This window comes from Homo sapiens, chromosome 7 (assembly GCF_000001405.40).
Source record: "Homo sapiens chromosome 7, GRCh38.p14 Primary Assembly".
Lineage (NCBI taxonomy): Eukaryota > Metazoa > Chordata > Mammalia > Primates > Hominidae > Homo > Homo sapiens.
Genome location: NC_000007.14, coordinates 116,499,730 through 116,521,143, shown reverse-complemented (window position 1 = coordinate 116,521,143; position 21,414 = coordinate 116,499,730). Strand labels below are relative to the sequence as shown.

General features: G+C 38.3%; 1 protein-coding gene across 4 annotated transcripts, besides 3 other annotated features; it reads right to left on the bottom strand.

The window, feature by feature from the left end:
- Positions 8,901 to 8,950: an enhancer, noted in NCBI's record as "active region_26534". NCBI's record gives its function as "activates an Ori minimal core promoter by ATAC-STARR-seq in GM12878 lymphoblastoid cells {active_cell/tissue: GM12878}" and the evidence as "EXISTENCE:reporter gene assay evidence [ECO:0000049][PMID:35858748]".
- Positions 8,961 to 9,340: an enhancer, noted in NCBI's record as "active region_26533". NCBI's record gives its function as "activates an Ori minimal core promoter by ATAC-STARR-seq in GM12878 lymphoblastoid cells {active_cell/tissue: GM12878}" and the evidence as "EXISTENCE:reporter gene assay evidence [ECO:0000049][PMID:35858748]".
- CAV2 (caveolin 2) lies at positions 12,603 to 21,406 on the bottom strand. Of its 4 annotated transcripts, none has more exons than NM_001233.5 (3): positions 21,213 to 21,406; positions 20,697 to 20,884; positions 12,603 to 15,173 (listed from the first exon to the last, which is right to left on the bottom strand). In NM_001233.5, exons 1-3 carry the CDS (start codon positions 21,360 to 21,362, stop codon positions 15,023 to 15,025), a joined length of 489 nt encoding a protein of 162 aa, NP_001224.1. In that variant the 5' UTR covers positions 21,363 to 21,406; the 3' UTR covers positions 12,603 to 15,022. The 4 variants fall into 3 exon arrangements, with proteins under 4 accessions (NP_001224.1, NP_001193676.1, NP_937855.1 ...); NM_198212.3 differs by lacking the exon at positions 20,697 to 20,884; NM_001206748.2 differs by lacking the exon at positions 21,213 to 21,406 and having other exon boundaries at positions 20,697 to 21,098.
- Positions 19,355 to 19,649: a silencer, noted in NCBI's record as "tiled region #4219; K562 Repressive DNase matched - State 5:Enh". NCBI's record gives its function as "represses a minimal TATA promoter and a strong SV40 promoter by Sharpr-MPRA in K562 cells {active_cell/tissue: K562}" and the evidence as "EXISTENCE:reporter gene assay evidence [ECO:0000049][PMID:27701403]".

The window sequence follows — 21,414 nt, the reverse complement described above, 5'->3', positions numbered from 1 at the left end:
CAGCTCAGTATTTACCCTGTTTATCAGCATCACCACCCCATAGGCCTTCTGCTATTCATTGCATCTGCTGAATCCCATTGAGGCCTCCTTCCTACAGTTGCCCATTTCATATGTGGAAGGAAATGGCTTTCTGGATGAAGACTTGCCACATCACCTGACCCCTTCCTCACCTTGTTCTAACTTGAAGCTTCTGTGGATTGGGCTTTTCCACTTTGAGTATTTTAAATAATTTTTTCCCACTTATTTTCTTCAAAAAAAAAGCAAGCAAACAGCGATTTTGTGTTTTAAAAATCTTTCTGATCAAGATGGCTAAGAGTTTTCTTTTCCTACTATTTATTTAAATTAACTTCACTTTATTTACAAAATGAAAAATACTACTGATATCTACCCAATAGGAGTTTGTAAACTTTAGTGAGGTGATGTATTTGAAGCTCTGAGAATACTGCCTAAAGCACAATAGTTGCTAAGGTTGAGGGAACACATTTTAGTCCACAAATTTAAGATTCAAATAAACATATTTTATTTCAAAGTATTTTTATTGTAAAATAGTTCAATTATCTGAAATATGGCAAATTGTATGATGGACACCTGCCACCCAGCTTGATTAAGTATCATTTTGCCTTATTTACTCCAGAGCTTTTTAAACAGAAAACATTATGGAAACTGTCAAAGTCCCATGTGAATTGTAACTTTCTCTTTTTCTGTAACTGGTCTTAATTTCTTTTACAAAGCCCCATTCCTTCAGGTGGCAGAAACTTAATTTCAGTCAGTTTCTAGTTTCTTCCATTTTGTCCTAAATTCTAGGGGCTTATGATGTGACCAGGAATCTTGGGTGTGTCTGTGGAGGAGGGTTTCTTCCTTAGCTGTGCATCTTGGCATCTGCTGATGAGTATGTCACTCTGTCCGTCCTTGGTTATTGATCCATTCAGGAGAACAAGTGCTGCACTGTCCTTCAAGCTCATTGAATGTGCCTCTTTGGGCCAGAGACACTTTCTTGCTATTTCTGTTCCTTTCTTGGGGCTCTCTGCAAGCAAATCTGATGAATCTGGATGGGTAGGTCTGATACAGCATAGTGGAACCTCCTATGTTGAGTGCGATGTAGAGAACAGAATGAGTCCTGTGCTCTGTCATGGTGCAGAGAAGCTCCAGGGTGTCACTGCCTCCATGTGCCCTATCTTGAAACAGAAGGCACAGACATCTTTGCTTTCCGATCCTCTTAATTTATCAGGGCCCACCCTAGAAACACCCCTGTCAAAAACTACTTTGCATCTTTTCTCAATTTCTTCTCCCTTGAGCAGGAAGCCTTGTTCTTACATCGCCCACCAATATTTTCATGCCATGAATCCCCCAGGACCAGGATTTTGGAATTAAGGAAAGCCTTATCTCTGCTTTTATGCTATAAAAATTCTTCCACAAGGGTAGATGGGGTAGGGGAAAGTTCCAGGGGCAACCAGAAAAGATCATTAGTGAAACTTCGGAAGTGTCATCCTTCCCTAATCTTCCCCTCTTTCCCTTCAACCAAATCTTGCCAAGATTTTTGCTGGTAACATCTCTAAGAGCTGCTGTTTCTGAGTTAACAACAAACCCTCGAACTCAAATTTCACATATGTAATTTCAGAACTTCTGCCAATATTTACATTTCATTGGTAGCCTTGATTAAGGCTTTTTAACCTAATTAACTCCAAATATTGATAGTGAAAGAATATGTTTAGTCTTTAGCATTTCCTATGTCACTTTACAATTTTATTTGTAAAATATTTTGTTATTCAATACAAAATAAATCTGATTGGTTATTTAATACAGTGGAAATAAGGTTAATTCTTAAGAAAGCTTTTGAGTAGCAAATCCTATGTTGAAAGTGCAATTTTTTTGTGTGTCCTAGCTAAAATTGCTAGAGGAATAGCCATATTGTGACTGCTAGGCCAGTAGTGCAGATGTGGCTTTATGGCCCTGTCTAAAGGATATCACAACAGCCAATTGAAAGTGAAAGATGAAGTGACCCAACATGTTTTTGTCATCATATATCTGACACATATTTATTTTAAGACTACATTTTAGAGTGTACCAATCAATTATTGCTGCAATAATACTGCTTAAGTAAACTACTACAAAACTCAGTGCTCTAAACAACCACCATTTTTATCATAGAGCTATGGGTTGGGTTGGCTGGGGCTTGGCTGATCTAGGGGAGGTGCCTGGAGCAGATCCACCTCTCACCGCTTGGTACATCTCTCCTCCTCCTTGCACTAGCAAGATGATTGGGGCACATTCTTCCCATGCTCCATGAAGCAGCAGTGGCATAAGAGGACAAGAAAAAACATACAAGGCTTCTAAAAGCCCAGACTTGGAGAGGCACATTGTCACTTCTGCCTTATTCCCTTGGCCAAGGCAAGTCAAGTGACTTAGCCCAACATCAAGGGATGGGGATGGAATTGCCACCAATGATGAAGCCATGGCAAGGGATGTATGAAGAACTCAAATCTATATCACATATGTGTGGTCATTAGAGGTTTTTTGTTTTGGCTTTCAATTTTATAAGTTTTAATCTAACTTTTTGATACTTACTATTTTTGCCATTTATTACTTCTTTCTCAGAAAGCTTTATACAGTATATTAAAATTTCCATTAAACAGTTGGTAACAAAAACAAAAATCCCTTAATCACAAATCAAATGCAAACTTCTAGATGAAGATTCTCAAATATGATGCCTGACAGAGGGCCTCAGAGAGAGGGGCTCGGGGTGGTCACAGATACATTCTCTTGCCTTAAAAGAGAATGTGATTTTCAAAACAGTTGATAATTTATCTTACTGAAATAATAATTAGGCCACCACCTTTCCTCAGAATTCTTGGCTGATGAAACCTAAAAGAATGATTGATTTTAGGTAGCTGAAACTAGCCTTTAGAGTGCCAGCTTTTATATTTCAGTAATTTCTGACAAAAATCACTCTTTAAAACATTAATTTTTGGCTGGGCACAGTAGCTCATGCCTGTAATCCCAGCACTTTGGGAGGCCAAGGCAAGCAGATCACCTGAGGTCAGCCTGGCCAACACGGTGAAACTCATGTCTACTAAAAATACAAAAATTAGCCCGGTGTGGTGGCGGGCTCCTGTAATCCCAGGTACTTGGGAGGCTGAGGCAGGAGAATCACTTGAACCCAGGAGGTGGTGGTTGCAGTGAGACGAGACCACATGCCATTGCACTCCAGCCTGGGCAACAAGAGCAAAACTCCATCTCAAAAACAAAAACATTCATTTTTCTCCTCCCTGCCTTTTAAAGCAGAGTTGTTAGAGCATAGGGGCTTGCCCCAGGCCAACATTCAGTAGGGCTGCTGAAAGTGCTGGCATCTTCCTCCTACTTCTTCACTGTTTTAATGAAGATCTGGAGAGATGCTGCCTGAAACCAGATTTCTGAAACAAAATTCCAGTTGCAGAGACTTCCTGAAATAGTCTCATTGGTATTTGTGCTACAGAGGACAAAGTGTCATCATTATTATTCTGGATTTAGAAAATCTGATGAAACTTGTGCTTGTTTTTGAAAATGTAGAAAAATTTTGCCTTTAAAGGTAGGTTTTCTCAAAATGTACACTTTCTTTATCTTACTCTATCTTATTGCAAAATTTTGTTCTTTGAGATAATATTTTCTTTTTAATTCCATTAAAAACAAACTCATAAAGACAATATGATTTATCAGTATAAAGGTAAGTTCAAATATTGAGAAAATGTGAAGTGATAAGCAAACCAAATTTCATTGAGTTATTTTCATTTGTGCTTAAAGTCCATGAAAAATTTCAGGTTTCAATTCATCACCTCATTATGATGACATATAAGAAATCAAACTAACTGCCATGAAATTGAGTGGATTATAATAACCCTACCAAAATAATGGCTACCATTCTCTAAAGATAGGAAGTCTTAGTCTAAACTCGGAGCCAAACACTAATATAATCAAGGGATAATGTATTCAGTAAGCACGAAATGAGAGGTAAATAAATATTTGGCTCATTTTTCATCTGGATAGATTTATATCAATAATAAAAGTAAAAATTACAGCCCTACCTAACTCAAGACTGAAAATATTTACTATAAAGCTTGAGCTTAGCAATTTTCAGAAAAATTATGGTCAAGTGGTAAAACAAATTATTACTTTTCATCTAGTTGAGAGATGTAAAATATTTAAATATACAACGATTATGTTTTCTCCCATTCAAGCAAAACAAAATTATGACCACCTTTTAGAAGTATGGAAGCTCCATAAATGTTATCCAAAGTATGACTAACTCTCAAACCTAGTAGGACAACAAAATAATGCAATATGATATAACTAGTACCTAGATTTAATATATATTTAACATAATATAGCTTATATCTGAGAAATGCACCATTTTATAGCATACTAGTGAGCTTTTAAATAGCATATTAGGGAAACATAGATTTTATTATTAACAAGTAAGTAATTAAAAATCCTTTTTGATTATAATGAAATGATAAAGAATAAAAATGCCTTTAGCCCCTTAATACTACCCCAAATTATAAGGAGATATTAAACTTCCATGTTTTTCTTAAGTTAATGTAAATATTTGGGAGTAGTTCTCCACAGAAGCCCTTTGTGTTGTAACCCATCTGGCTTTAAGTCAGGGCTCCATTATTTAACAAAGGAAACTCTCTTTCCTTTTGGCCCTTTCCCTAGTAAATAAACTACTTATCAGGAGTTGGTTTTACCTGGGGAAAATTTATCTCTGAACCACTCCTTTTGAGGCAATGATGCTTTAAAAGAGTAAAATATTTTACTCTTTTAAAAGTATATATATATATATATAATATATGTATATGTGCTTGTATATACACACACATTATATATATGTATGCAAGTTGATTTTTCATATATTTTTTTTTTGAGACAGAGTCTCGTTCTCTTGCCCAGGCTGGAGTACAGTGGCATGCTTCACGGCTGACTGCAGCCTCCACCTCCCAGGCTCAGGTGATCCTCAGCCTCCCTAGTAGCTGGGACTACAGGTGTGTGCCACCAGACCCAGCTAATTTTTATATTTTTGGTAGAGACAGGATTTTTGCCAGGCTGGTTTCGAACTCCTGGACTCAGGCAATCCCTCCACTTCAGCCTCCCAAAGTCTAGGTTTACAGCATAAAATAAAGTCCGTCTTTAAAGACTCTGTGGGTGTGTGTGTTTCTATGTGTGTGTGTGTGTGTGTGTGTGTGTGTGGATGTAGGTTCATGTGGTGAACATACACATAAGTGATCTGCTCTTCATACAGAAATTTACTTTCTTGTAATCATATGATGAGTTTGTTTTTTCACTAATTCCAGGGCAAATCTTTAATTGCAACATCAGCTTTTGTGCATACTGGAGAATGGGGTTTATTTCTGCACTGCTGGTTTTGCCTTCAAGCAACTCAGCTAACTTCAGAGGGAATGTGAATGTGTTTTAAAGCAGGTGTGGGGGATTTAGTTTTTGGACAGCCAGTAGAATCTTCTCATAGAGCCAAACAAATGAACTCTCTGTTAGTTTCTTCTCTTGTCTGTCTGTAGCTACTTTATCTTCATCTCTTTCCGTGTCTTACTCAAGCTACTTACTAGATAGATCCTTGCTACTCAAAGTTTGATCTAGGGACTTGCAGCCTGAGCATCCAGGGAGCTTGTTAGAAATGCAGAATCCCAGGACCAATCCCAGATTTACTGAATTTGAATTGGCATCTTAACAAGATCCCCTGGTGATTCCTATGCTCATTTTATTTTGAGAAACAGTAATGTAGGGGAAATAAAAACTTTAAACCTGAAGATGTTTAAAAATGCAGAAGTTATGCCAGCAAATATCACTCTCCTATGTAAGAACCCTGAATGGAGAACAAAATTCCACAAATACACACAAAAGGAGACTTTATATCATGGGAAGAGCAGCAGCACTGCAGGCTGGATGACTTACAGGGAATCCCAACTCAATAAAATGAAGGAACATACTATTAAAGAAATATTTGTAAGCAAATTGAAGGATACATCATTTAAGGGGGAACCCTACAGGCTAAGTTGGCCAAGGTGCTTGCAGGGAACTGGCAGTTCTTTCTATTTCTATAAACTGAAGGCTTCTTGGAATGTGAAATCAAGAATTACAAACTGGGCAGTAGACAGGATTATTATTATTTTTTATTTATTTTTGCTATGAAAGGGCTTGAGCTGTATTAAGTTATCTCATTGACCACACCAAAAAGGTATTGGTGAACAGCAAGAGTTGAGGTGGCACCAATCTATTAACTTCATAAAAAGAACAATTTCTTAGGGGCTGCTTCAAAGTAGCCCAAACCTATCCTGCATTTTGGAGAGTCCCATGCCCTGCAGACTTCATTGCAGACTTCAGGGATTTTCCTTTCCAATTCTGAATATTTCTTCAACTCTAAGAACCGTAAAATCATGGAAATCAATAGATCCCTAGCTCATCACACATCATAGAGCCTGGTCTACATCTGATCTGCCCCAGATTAATGCTTATCATTGCCAAAGTTCTTCCAGGAAAATTGTTTTACAATCTTCTATTTGCCATTTTCCCTTGTTTGAACATACTGATGGTCACAGTTTTTTGTGTTTGTGTGTGCCTAGTCAAATAAGATTGTTGCTTAGGATAACCCCACATAGGATTTCTTTTCCTCAGAAAAAAAAAAAAATAGTCTTTGTTTTTTTTTTTTTTTTTTTTGAGACGGAGTCTCGCTCTGTCACCCAGGCTGGAGTGCAGTGGCGCGATCTTGGCTCACTGCAAGCTCCGCCTCCTGGGTTCACGCCATTCTCCTGCCTCAGCCTTCCGAGTAGCTGGGACTACAGGCGCCTGCCACCACGCCCGGCTAATTTCTTTTTGTATTTTTAGTACAGACGGGGTTTCACGGTTTTGGCCAGGAAGGTCTCGATCTCCTGACCTCGTGATCCGCCCACCTCGGCCTCCCAAAGTGCTGGGATTACAGGCTTGAGCCACCGTGCCCGGCCAAAAAAATAGTTTTAATAAAAATCAGTTTACACAGTTATTTTTTTTCCTAGGACCCTTCAATCACTTCCAGGACAAATAATACCAACAATGCTGATACTTTTTTAGCAATCTAATTTTAAAAATTGTAATAATCATAGGATTTTCCTCGTCTAAATAAAATGTATATTAATGATTCAGTTGATTGCTCACTTGGTTATTCTATATGATAACAAATTATTTTTTGGTGTTTTATTTCCAGTGCTTTCATCATGCCCCTCACTCCACCCATCCCATCCCCTGCGTGGCCCCTGCACATACAACATGTGAAATTGATTGAATAGACAAGAAATTCTGTGGGGATCTTTTCATCTTGTTTATGTTACCTAACCCTGAATAATGTGTGCTATTCCTATGTCTGCCCCAAAAAGGCTACAGATAACTGGAGAGAAAGGGTTGGTTGCATCTTATGCTTCTTTTTATGTATTCTAGTGTCATGATTTCCCATTTTTTCAATCTAATTCTTGACTTTGATACTGATCAGTTTACCACTGTCACTTTGTGAGAAAATATGTAGAAACTGGGTGCGATGGTATGCACCTGAAGTCCTAGAAACTGGGGAGGCTGAAGAGGGAGGATCACTTGAACCTAGGAGATTGCACTACTGCACTCCAGCCTGGGTGATAGAACAAGACCCTGTCTCTAAAAAATAAAATAAATAAAATTTATAATGAGCAAATTATTCAATAGGAGAAAATAAATTCATATATGGTTTTCCCTGGGATCTCCAAGACAAAGTAACTGACAATAAAATTGGATAACATAAAAGGATGTACAAACTGACAAGAAATTTCCGACAAAATGAAGAAAATACAAAATAAGGATTCTGTCTAGAAAACAATATGTTTAGTCCAAACTGAAATTATTGCTGTAATTATTAATATTTTACATGTCAGGATGTTTAGCATTGAGAAGAAAAATCATCACTGGGCTTTTGATACATATTAGGGAAGTCTGTGTGAAGGAATAAAATGCTACAAAATTTACAAAAAATGAGAATAATGGCATTTGGGAACTATTTTTCTGACTTTAGCTGGAGTGTAAGGTCTAGAGCTCAGATCCTAAGGAGAAAGAAAGGGTGTGCCCTGAAAAGCGGCATACAGGGCTGGGGGAGGGGTTCAGGGATTAGATGGAGGCCGAGTGAGGAGGTTACATGAAGCCCAGGTGCTAGCTTGGGACAGCTCTTACAACTGAGGACATGAAACTGCCTCCATTGATGGGAGAATGGAAAAAAAGGTGCTTCTCAGAGTAGGAAAGGTGGATGAATGAAAAAAGAAGATTTTGGCTGGAAGCCATAAGAACAGCCATGGACACATTCTTTCAGGAAATAGAAAATCATCTCTACAGTGATTAGGAGTGTGGGCTCTGATGTCAGGCTCTCTTGGCTCACATCCTGACTGTGGTCTAGGGCAAATTCTTTAACTTCACAGCATCAGTTTCATTATCTGAAAAATGGGAATGACAGTAACATTCCCATCGTAGGGTTATTGTACTGATTAAGTAAATGCCCAGAAGATTATAAGTGCTCGACAAATCTAAATACTCCTGTTATTGTTTGTACTGAGATCAGAGGTCTCCCAGCCATATAATACATAAAGAATTTCAACCAGTTTCCTCCTCAGTAAAATAAGCGTGGTGGTTATTCCTCACCACTTGCCTCCCTGCGATGTGGAGTGTGCATCCCTGAAACTTTCCAAATGACTCCTTGTTTCACTGCCCTAGTTAGCTGAGACAGCAGTTGGCTGGAACCGATGTGCCAGTCAGTTAGAGAAACAGGTCCTGCATACTGCCCTTCTCTCCCCTTTTGTTACTGGTTGGTGCTCGGTGACAAGTGACTGGGAGGCAGGAAAGAAAAGAATGCTCCAAAGATGACCTGCTGCTCTCACCTCTTCCTGATCCATTTATGTCTGAGAGAAATATTTGCCCTTGGCTACGTGCTGTTTCCCACTCTGAGTCATGTCTCTTCCTTTCTCTCATCATCCTACACCCCTACCTTTTCCTATAAAGGCAAAATGATTTCTCCAGTCACACAGCTGAGCTGAATGACCTAATACGTCCAAGCACAGGCAGATAGGTGTCCCTGTCCTATTTTTGGTTAATTGTTGAAGTGGTGTCCTCTGATTTCTCTGACTGCAGCATGGTCTTTCTTTGCCGCAGACATGCCGCAACAGTCAACAGCACAGAGAGGCAAGGCGAAAGAAGACACAGATAGATGGTCACAAGTTACAGTTTCATTTTCATTTTCAGTTGCACGCTTCGGCATTGTCTTTAGGGCACATGGTTCCAGCAGAGCCCTCATGCCCACTCCTAGGGTCCTATTCATTCAGTAAGACAAAAGCAACTTTCCTTTGTGGATAAAAAGAAAAGTCTTTAGCTGACTTCAATTTCCTCCACTCCTGTTCAGATTCCATGCCCCTTTCACTAGGGATTTGGGTTGTCCAAAAGCGAAACTGGGAAGGCTGAAGGCCATGTGATTGGAGCCTCTTGTTTCCCTTTGTCACAGCTTTCTCTTTGGTGACATCTCTTTTAATCAGTGTATGGTGCTCTCATATTGTGCTCAGAGCTCTTATGCTTGGTTCCCATATGTAGTTTTCAACACTCCTTTCTCAGATCACTTGTTCACCTAAAGTAAATAGATGACTGCTAATAGATTGAAATGTTACCCCACTCAAGGGTGTGTTTCACTTAAAAAAGTATCAAGATGTCAAGTTCCAATGGCAGCATTTCAGGTACAATCCAAAGCAAGAAACTGGAGAGTGGGCACAGAAATGTCTTAAAAATTTAGCAAGGGGTGCTTTATTTTGCTCATTTTGCTATTTTGGGGTGAATAGGGAGAAGAAATTGGGATGGTTAAATTATAGTTGCCAAACTTATTTTTATTCCTAAAAAATATAAACTGACTATCTAGTATACCTGTATCCTTTACTCCTCCTCTGTCAACTTCTTCCCCTGTCTTCCCTGCACACATACACAACTTGAAGGGAAGAAGTGTACCAAATCCTGATTTGTGATAAATTACATTCATTGTGGTAATTTTTCTTTGCAGCTCTACTTACTATTTTTTTAAGTTTCTTAAAGTAACATGTAACCCTGTAAAAATTCTGTAAGCACTTGTTATCTTAAACAAACATTCTAAAATGATAAAGTTGCAAGCTAGAAAAACTAAGCTATTATTTGTTTGATTTCTCCATTATGTTATTTAATTTGTCCTGGGATTCAGATGAGACAATGTGTTTTCTAAAATGTAAAACCCAAAGAAACAATCTTTCAGTGTTATAAATTTCAAAGTGAGGAATAGAATAGTAGATGAAATAGCAACATTCTAGAAAGCATGAAAGTGTGTTTCCAGACAAGTTTCTAAATGCTAGGGCTTTCTACCCCTGAAGAATTAAAAGTAAATTTTAGATACGAGAATGGAGACTAAAGGCAGGCATTACCCCAATCGATAAAATATAAAATGGTTTATATACGTTTTTGTTTTCTCAACTTAATGATTCATGAGTGAGAAAATGGTGGGAAGGAAATTTTTATTAGAATCAGTACATTTCAAATCCCTTTTGTAAAGAAGAAATTATGAAGTTTTGTGCAATTCCCACTCTCAGTTCTGCAATTATCCCAAGCTTTCTCCAGTTATTTATTTACATAATCATTCATACAGAAAATATTGATGGAACTCATTAAGCACTGGGCACCATTTCAGAATCCCAGCAAACGTGAAGTGATGTTTTTGGTTCTCAAATACCTAACTAGCAGTCTAATGGTATTAGTTAACAGGGTTACTTTTACAACGTGACAGGTGATAATAGGAATTTGTACAACATTTTAGATGTAGACACAGAAGAGGCACTTAATGTGGAAGAGTTTTGGAAACAGATAAGAGTGAGGCAGGCATGAGAAGAAAAACAATGCTGGCATGGGTACACAGGAGTAGCACGGGTTGTTCAGTAAAGCTACAGAAGAGTTGCTAACGATGACAACGGGTTGATGGCGAAGGCCTTGCATATGCTGCTCAAGAACTTGGAATATTATTCTCAGGGCAATCACATACAATTGATAGTTTTAAGCAAGGAAATGACAGGGTAGTCTTGGTATAATCACGTTTTTTTTAAGAGAAAAATGGATTGGTGATCATATTGAAGGCAGGAAGTGAGGTCAGTTAGGAGGCTGTGGCAAATAGCCAGGCAAAAGAGAAAGATGGCAGTGATTATGGGGCATAGCAGTGATTTTGACAGAAAATCTTAAAATGAAATAGAGTCATTCCTCGGTACCCTTGAGGGATTGGTTCTAGAATTCCCCTGCAGATATAAAAATCCTTGCATACTTAAATCCCGTCATCCCTGCAGAACCCAAGGAGGTGAAAAGTCAGCCCTCCTTGTCTGAGGGTTTTGCATCTTGCAATACTCTATTTTGGATCCAGTTTGATGGTGGATGAGGAACCTGTGGATACGGAAGGCTAACTGTATTTACTGAAAAAAAATCTGAGTATAAGTGGACTGAGCAGTTCAACCCCATGTTGTTAAAGGTTCAATCGCAAATTCTAATTAAGATATAATTTTTTTCAGAAATTCATAATAATAAAGACTTAGCATTGATAAAAATCTTAGGATCTCTGTTTTAATGAATTGAGGCCAAATACAGTCTCACAATCAATAGAAGGGTGAAAAGTACATGCATTAATTATTGTATTTATAGCACACCTATCCTGTAATTGATTGAAAATTCACTGATTTAAAAAAATATTTTTGGACTGGACAGCTAGGTTGGTTTTCATATACATAGCCAAGTTTTCATCCTGCTGAAGTCACAGAAAACAATGAGATAGGAAGCTCCTGAGAGACCATTTAGTTCAATTCTTTCATTAACGATAAGAAAACTGAGAACCCAAGATTAAACCCTTTGCATGAAGGGATACACCTCAATAACGGCAATGCTGAGACTGGAATCCAGTTGCCTGACTTCTAGGGCAGGGCTTTTTTCACTACACTCCAACAACTTTCCAAGAGAGGCATCAAAATAAATTAATGGGATGTGGATGACTATCAAAAAGATGAATTTTTAAAAGTTCCTGAAAACTATAAAGAACATTTTAAAAAGCCAAGCACCTGCTTTATTATTATAGGTTGGTCGTTTTTCCAGATGAACTGACAAGAAAATGTATGCCAACATCAGCAACTACTCTTCACATACTCACTTTCCAAAAATAATTTTGGACTCTAGTCTAGCTTCATGGTACAGGTATCCAAGTGCCTGTGATTTATATTGTTACTTTCTTATTTTAAAAATTGGAAACAAATTTCAGTTTATTTAGGATTAGCAAGAAGAGACTATAAAAAAGAAGAAGTATGGTGGGTGTGTGAACAGGCTATTTTATACTATTCATCAAATGATAGAACATTTATATGGAACCTCTTTAAGTGCTGGAAAACAAAGAATTCAACTACTAATGTAATAATTTTTAAAAATACATTCCCAAATAAGCAATAACTAATGTATTTATTATCTATTTTGAGTTTTTAATAAGGTAAAAATAAGTATGAAAGATTCCATATTTACTGTAATAAAAGCAATACACACATTTGTAGGCTTTTAGAAAATTTATTATGAATTCCGAGAAGTCTGCTCATCATATACCTCCCCCAGCCCCAAATAAAACAAACAACATGTTTGTACATAAAGCCTGGATTTACTTGGTACAAAATTTGAGTCTTTGAAAAAAATAGTTAATGGAAAATCTCAATAAAAATTCATTTTGAAAGTAACCAGTACTGTTCAGAAATAAGGAAGTCATGTTACTTGAGAAGTCAAACAGTTTTATTACAGAACTATGTGTATATATTTTGGGTTTAAAACTTGCCAATAGCTGTTTGAAAGGATAGCTCATAATTTATTCAAATAGATATTTTATTAATCAAATGTTTTTGGTTTATCAACATAACCAAATGTATAAAAAATGTTTTTAAATACAAGACATAACTATAAAGTCATGAGGCTGATTGACCTTTTAAACTAACATAATAAAATCTATATGGTCAAAATGAGTGGTGATGCTTTAAGGTAATGATTATGCGTCCCATCTAAGGATGCTGCAATGGCCTAGGGCAGTTTTGAAATGTCTCTTTGCAACTACCTTCAAAAGGATATGAGCTTCATAATTTAATCATTCATTTGATTTGGTCCCCAATATTATTCCAGTTCAATCATCATTTATATTCACCAGTCCTGGCGATTTTGAAAAATCTTATTAATCTTATTTGTCACTTATTAGCGTATTCAAAGGAATGTCAATTGAGGTTCTGATGGTAATTCTGAAATTTAAGCATTTACACACTTTTAAGATGTGTAAATTTTAGTAACTACTCACATTATAGACTTGTTTTTGGTATATGTCTATCATTTTGAAATAATGAGATTTTTCTTTTTTCTTTTTTTCTTTTTTTCTTTTTTTTTTTGAGACAGACTCTTGCTCTGTTGCCAGGCGGGAGTGCAGTGGCATGATTTTGGCTCACTGCAACCTCTGCCTCCCAGGTTCAAGCAATTCTCCTGCCTCAGCCTCCCAGGTAGCTGGGACTACAGGTGCATGCCACCATGCCCAACTAATTTTTTTGTATTTTTAGTAGAGACGGGGTATCACCATGTTGGCCAGGATGGTCTTGATCTCCTGACCTCATGATCCACCCGCCTTGGCCTCCCAAAGTGCTGGGATTACAGGGGTGAGCCACCATGCCCGGCCCAGAAATAATGAGATTTTTCAAAGCAACAGTGATTCATCACACTGAAATAGGACTCTACAGTTCAAAATGACAAGAATAACTTTATCCTGTGTTACATACCAATATTAGAGAAATCTTAAAAGTTTGTAGCTGTTAGTTTTTAGTTTATGCATGTAGTTCAGTAGCCCAAGTTGACAACTCCCCTGTCTCTCTACATGAATCACTGTAGTTGAAATTGTACTAAAGTATCAGAAGTAACATTTACTGTAAAATGTTAAATAGCACCAATATTACTTGAAAGTAAAGTGAGACATTAATAGGAATGCTGACACAGATTTAATTTCTAACTACTAGAGAGAAAGCATCTCCTAGACAAAATACTATTTAGATATGAATTATTTTAAGATCACAGCCAGAAAAATGTCATAAAACATTTTAGATTTTGCTTGGAAAAGTTAGAAAAGAAAGCTTTGTGTATCGCTCTTTTATCTTTTATTTCCAAAGAAGATGTACAAATGCTTACATAATCAGAACAGTGCAATCTTACCAATGAAGTTTACCTTGTGGGAGCTACATTTACTTATTTCATATATTAGTTCAACAACATAAATATAATAAAAATGCTTTTAAGCAATCTGATTAGAGCAACATTTATATTAACTACAAAATATACAGTAAAATGAAACATCTTGTTAAATAGGCCTGTAGGAAAACAATATTTTAAAGGAATACATTTTCATGAATCTACTTTCATATTTATTTGTTTTATTGTATCTTATAGTTACTATAATCGTTGTGTGCTTTTGTTACTGCAATTTCCAGGATCATTGTATATTCTCAGTATGCCAGTGACTATATATGTAAAGGTAATTTAAAAAGTATTACTCCCAGAGTAAAAACAGACAAACAAATAAGAAATCTCATTTTTAATGGGAAGTTGTGCATAAAACTATTGTAGTATTTTTATAGAAATGTCCCTTAATCATTATAAGTTCATCATTATAAAATGTATACTATTGTACTAAAGCAAAACTGTCTGCCTTTAAATCTAAGTGGTGTCAACTTACTGTATAATTCTGGTTACAAAGTTAGATATGAAATCTTTGGCTATTAATTAGAAAAGCATTATTTGAAAAGACCTGTCAATAAACATTTCTAAATGTGGTTGCTCATCTTAATAGTTTTCTTAATTAGAACAGCTAGGAAATGAACAGAACAGTGGTGCTTTTATGTTATAATAACAAAGAAGTATTACAGTATCCCAATCTCCAGACCTGGGGTCCAAGTATTCAATCCTGGCTCAGTTGCAGGCTGACAGAAGAGAAGCATCGTCCTACGCTCGTACACAATGGAGCAATGATAACATCTGTCACACTCTTCCATATTGTCTGCACTGAAGGCAGAACCATTAGGCAGGTCTTTACAAAAGGCATTAAAATCCTGGAAGGAAGGAAGAGAGATGTGTGAGGATTGTTGCTGTTACCAAATAAGGTCTGTCTTGTACATGTATGAAAAGATAAAATACTGACCCATTTACTTAAATTTGGTTGAGAGTTTGAAACAAATAAATGAACAATGATCACTGATAATGATTTGGGTTTTTTGTCCCCCTGACTCTCATTTTGAAATGTAGTCCCCAGTGTTGGAGGTGGGGCCGAGTGGGGATAATTGGATCACAGCGGGTAGATCCCTCATGAATGTCTTAGTGCCTGCCACCCTCTTGGTAACGTGAGTTCTCACTCAGTTAGTTTGCTTGAGATCTGATTAACTAAAAGAGTCTGGGACCTCCACATTCTCTCTCTTGCTCCCTTTCTTGCCATGTGACGTGCCTGCTCCTCCTTCTCCTTCCACTATAAGTGGAAGCTTCCTGAGGTCCTTGCCTAAAGTAGATGCTGGCACTGTGCTTCCTGTACAGCCCGCAGAACTGTGAGCAAAAATAAACCTCTTTTCTTTATAAATAACCTAGTCTCAGGTATTCCTTCATAGTAATGCAAATGGACTAAAGTGATAAGATGCACAAAAAATATGTTGCCTAAAAATATAGTCATGTAGATAATAAACACTAATATTCTTTCTACTGGTGGCATGCTATCTGAAACAGTAAAACAAAAATAAATAAAACCATGTCTTTATCTACCTGGTCTCTGCCAGTTAACATTAACCTGCTTAAGTCTTCACACTTCCCTGAGGGTTTACTTCCTGATAGCCTTTCCTGCTGCCTCAGTCTTCTTCCCTTTTCCTGGACCAGGCTAGATCGGATATTCCCTCATTGTATTTCTAAAGTACTGAAACAAACTTCTTAATTTTCACATGTATCAAAAGGTATTATAAATAGATGCTGTATTTCTGTCTTTCCTACTAGCGTTTAAGTTTTTTTAAACAGTGAGGACATCCTTGACCCTTAGTAAATGGTTGAGCTAACATAAATTTATCATTCTTTTATGCCTTATGTTATTAACTATGTTTTATATTTTTTAATTTTTTCACAGTAATCACACACACTGAAAAGGGCTGTATGGTATAGTTGAAAGAACCCTGCAAATGATGTTAGAACTTTTACACAAGAAAACTAGTCTATCCTGAAATTGTTATTTTTCATACACTTGTTCCTAACATAGCTGCATATCCTTATAGTCCTCAGGATGGTTAATTTTATATGTAATTTTCTAAATAATGTTCTCTGTTGTAGTAATGTCCTCTGAGCACAAAAGTAGTTGTGAGATTTTCAGGCACTGCTGGTAGCCTCAATGGAAGCTTTATTATTACCTGGGTGGGCATAAGGGAGTAGGCTGATTTTCTTGGTTTGCTATTAAAATATGACTTAAATGAGGGTCTGCTGTACTTAGCCCAAAATGAAGGAAATATTAGGCAGCTTTCTGATTGATTGATATATTTTTAGAATATAGAATTATTCACATTGACTGTCTCCACAAATTGTGTTTTATTTCAAGTGCTAAATACATGAAACACTTTTATATAATAAGAAAATTAATTACTAAGTGTTTCAGAGATAAATAGCTGAATAGAAACCTCAATGATGGCAACTTTAGACTTATTATTCTATTATATTTCTCACTTGATATGTGGTCTTGGGCATGTTGCTACAAATTAAAGTGACACCAGGAGATCTCTCAGAACTGGCTATGAGGATTGACATTTATTATGTACCCCTGAAATGCCTGTATGATGCTGTCATTATAATGTATAATAAATAGACCTATTTTGAAGGCAGAATATATAATGAAAATAACTATAACAAGATGACCTCAAATTGGCCTATTAAAAGGCTGAAGTTTAGATCAGAAAGTTTCCTAACCAAATCCACTTCACTTAGAATTCCTTCCTTCTTTCTTTCTTTCTCTTTCTTTCTTTTTCTTTCTCTTTCTTTCTTTCTTTCCTTTCTTTTCTTTTTTCTTTCTTCTTTTCTTTCTTTCTTTCCTTCTTTCTCTTTTTCTTTCTGTCTTCCTCCCTCCCTCCCTCCCTCCCTTCCTTCCTTCCTCCCTCCCTCCCTCCCTCCCTCCCTCTCTTTCTTTCTCTCTTTCTTCTCCCCTCCCCTCCTCTTCCCTTCCCTTCCTTCTTTCTTTTCAGGTTCTCACTCTATTGCCCAGGCTGGAGAGCAGTGAAGTGATCTCGGCTCACTGCAACCTTCGCCTCCCGGGTTCGAGTGATTCTCCTGCCTCAGCCTCCCTGAGTAGCTGGGATCATGGGCACTTGCTACTATGCTTGGCTAATTTTTGTATTTTTAGTAGAGACAGAGTTTCACCATGTTGGCCAGGCTGTTCTTGAACTCCTGACCTCAAGTGATCTGCCCAGCTTGGCCTCCCAAAGTGCTGGGATTACAGGCGAGAGCCACTGCTCCCAGCCAGAATACAATGTACTTTCTATTCTTCCTTAGGCTAACAAATTTTCTATCTCCGTGACTCCTTAGATCTCCATGTCCTAAAAGGGAATTTAGCACATGTCAAAAGTGAATCTTCTTGTTCAGCAAAGCAGTTACCCACATTCGAGGAGTTCAGTTTATAGGGTGTTGTTAACTCATTTGGATTTTATTTTTGTTTACTTGTGTTCCCTCATTTTGGAGCAGAGAATCTAATGATCCTCCGACATCAAACTTAAGTTGGGTTCTCAACATCACAAATAGTTTAGCTTCTGAAACTCCAGGCAGTTCTGATTGACCCAAAATTTGGTTGAGGCTGAATGTGGCCAATACTTCTTAAGTAAATCTTATAATATATATATATTATATATATTAATATATGTAAGGTTATATATTCCTTGGATAATATATATCCTTGGATAATAAGGCCATAGGATAGAGACTTTTATTTAGTGTTGTAGTAATTGTAGAGTCATGCAGACTGCATTCATAGCAATTTACTGTATGAAAACTGTCTTCTAGAAATGAGATTGCTACTATCGCATTTCCATCAGTTGGGCATTTGTTTGCTTTGCATTCCAGCAAAAATAAGGGATATGGGTGCTCCAGCCACATTTCTTTGGTTATGATCCACTTATGACCAATAACCTGTGCTTAACAAACAGCAGCTATCTCTGTCTGACTGTAGTATGGAATCCAACTAATTCACTGATTCCTAATGGCCCGTACTTCTGGTCTAGGATCCAACACCACCAGACTTCTGTGTTTTATTGTTGTTGATTGTTTGTTTAAAGGATCTAAAATCTGACCTGTTTTAATATTGTGACATGGTTCAAAGTTCCACTACTGCATATTTTCCTAGCTTTGGTCACCACTAACTTTTTGGTAAAAACAATACACAAGCCCCTGCTTTAAAAAATATATATAAAAAGAAAACAAAACAAAAAAAGCTTGCCCAAATGGGTTTGCAATTCTGTAAGGTCTGTCCTTGATCTGGTCTTATCATGTCATGGGAATGCAATCTATTAATGATAAACCTATTTTATCAAGGCATAGCTAACTTTTAAGCATTCTTGTTTGAAATTACTCCTCTACTTGCAATCACAGCTGCCTGGTGACAAATGTTTTACAGTTAAATATTAATGCCCCACATAAATATAGTTAAAAAAACAAGCTGAAGTTAAATAATATTAAATAATACATTTTATGTGGCTAAAAAAAGGTGCATTGATGATTCACCAATTGAAGCACTATACAAAAACACCTCCCATTCTCAGAAGAGCCAGCTGGAGAGAGGCATTGCTTGGTTAATTGTAGTTTTACTTATATCTTTCCACCACTTAGTAAATGAGAAACTTTTTTTTTTCAAATTCTTTCACAAAAGCTTTGGGAAGCCTAGCTTTGTTGACTATAAATATGGTACTTCACATTTCCAAATAGCTTCATAGTCAGCATTTCACAATATGCTATGCGGTCACTCAGTTTTTCACAGTTTTGAAAGTGAGAAAACTGACATAGAGGTTAGATGATTAGTTTTAGTTAATTGGGAATCCCAAATCTTATGTGCCAACTCAGGGATCTTAAAAAAAATTCAAGTGCAAATGTCAGAATATAACTATCCATTTGACCTTCATGAAGCTGATCATGTACTAAGGCAACATTTTCATTTCCCTGGCAATCTTGGCACCTTCAACATAGTTTAATTGTTTACAACCTTTAGTGATAAAATTAAATTGGTGTTCTTTGTGTATCCTTTACGTATTTGGTGAATTTTCATTTATCCTTTCAAAGTCTTTTTCGACTCCTTTCACTCTTCAAAGCCTTGTCTGTTCCTCCCTCTTTGTCAGTTGACTGTGTTTTCTCAGCGTCCATCTCTGTACCTAGCCAGCTGCCCTGATAAGGCTGTGAGTAAGCTGAAGGCAGACCCTATCTCTCATTCATCCTGGCCCAGTGCCCAGCACAAACTAAGCACTCAATCAATTTAAAGTTTGTTGAACTAACTAGCTAGCTAACTGACTAAATAAATTAAGATTCAGGTGGTATAGAGAAATAAAGGATAAATTGGTAACTTCTAACAATGAACACCGAGTATTTATCAGGGTGTGGCAATATCATAAAAGGTGTAAGAAAGACACGGAGGTACCTTGGGTTATACCTTTCACCAGGACTAACCTGAAGCACTAGCGTGACAACTGTTGTGATACTGGGGATGATCTGAATATTCTTCCTCTCAGATTAAAGTGGATATTTTCTAACACAACAACATTTATTGGTAAAATATGACATTTTCCATAAAAAATTTAAAAGATGCTTAAGAAAGTTCTCTACAGTTTAGGACACATTTTGAGTATGAATAGAGTTACTCAAAATATCCTATCAATATACAGTGGGCTTCCATATTTCTTTCCCCTTTAATTATATGCCACTTCCATTTGTGTTTCATCAGTGAAAAAGTAATTTGGAGGCCTTCTCATTCATTATCCCGCAGCTGGAGTTTTCATTCGTTTGTACTGGGGGGGACCCTCGCCTTAACTGCACACACCTCCCTTTCCTCTGGGTCCCATCCTTGCCATCTGCCAGGGGCAAAGTTGAAGCAGCCCCTCCACACTACTGCTTAACCAGGTCTGACATCCTCATCCAATTCTACTGTCAGCGGCATTCTGCTCAGAGATCACTTTTGTTTTACCCCAAGCACAGGCAGTGACTGAATAAAAGGCAATGAAAGAAAGAAGAGTCCTGCCCAGAACCGCAGGTACGAGTCACAACAGGGCCCCGAGAGCAGCCTGTGGTAAGAAGTGTGGCTTCCAGGTACCCGCCTCCACACTCAGCCCAGCCTTATGTATGCAAGGAAAATCACACCCCAGGAAAGACCGACATTCTTTCTCCTGTTGAAACTCCAAGCCCAAACTGTTATTCTAAAGGAAGCGCATTGCCTTTCAAGGCCTTCCAGTTCTTCCTACTGCTTGGGAACTGATGCGCGTTCCTCCTCCTGACGCCGGCCTGGGATAAGAGGAGAGTAGGGGGCAGGTGGCGGAGAATATGCCCATGTTTCAGAAAGCCGGTCCACCCGGTGTGCCCCGTCTCACCAGATGTGCAGACAGCTGAGGGTGGCAAAGAGAATTCCCGCAATGAAGGCCAGGGGAATGGCCAGGAACACCGTCAGGAACTTGTACATTACGTATTTGCTGATTTCAAAGAGGGCATGGCTGCAGATCCACACTTTGTCAAAGGAGTGCGTAGTCACCGGCTCTGCGATCACATCCTCGAAGCCCAGCTGAGGAGACAGGACGCAGGGACCCCGAACTGTCAGCCAACCTGACGCCCCGGGAACCGGGAGCGCTTTGGGCGGGGGAAGCAGGAGGGAAGGACGTGCCAGGGCGTCCGCCTCTTCTCTTAGGGTCACGGTGGGCGCACAGGAACCTGGCTAAGAATTCCTGGCTACGCGGGCGGCCTGGTGACGGGTGGGACCGGGGAAGGGTGCGGGTCTCAGACCCTGCGGGGCCGACCCGGTAGCAATGGTGGGACGGGTTAGGGCGGGGCTGAGGGGCGCCCGCACCTCCCGGCCTCAGCGGGGACTTGGGCCCGCCCGCCCCGGGCTTCACCTTGAGATGCGAGTTGAGCCGGTGGGGATCCCGGTCCTGGTCCGAGTCCGCGAACTTCTCGGGGTCGGCGTACTCGAGGCCGCTGTGGTGGCTGTAGGAGTCGTCGTCCATGAAGAGCTGTACGTCCGCCTTCTCCGTCTCCAGCCCCATCGCAGCCTTGGTGCGCGGCCGCTGCAGCCCGGCTGGCGCGGTGCGGCTCCCG

Bases quoted from the DNA above. Each gene is read 5' to 3' on its own strand.
- CAV2 (NM_001233.5), bottom strand. From the start codon at position 21,362: ATGGGGCTGGAGACGGAGAAGGCGGACGTACAGCTCTTCATGGACGAC. The intron at 20,885-21,212 runs GTGAAGCCCGGG...CTGTCTCCTCAG, and splicing joins GGCTCAACTCGCATCTCAAG to CTGGGCTTCGAGGATGTGAT. The intron at 15,174-20,696 runs GTGAGACGGGGC...CCTTCCTTCCAG, and splicing joins CTCAGCTGTCTGCACATCTG to GATTTTAATGCCTTTTGTAA.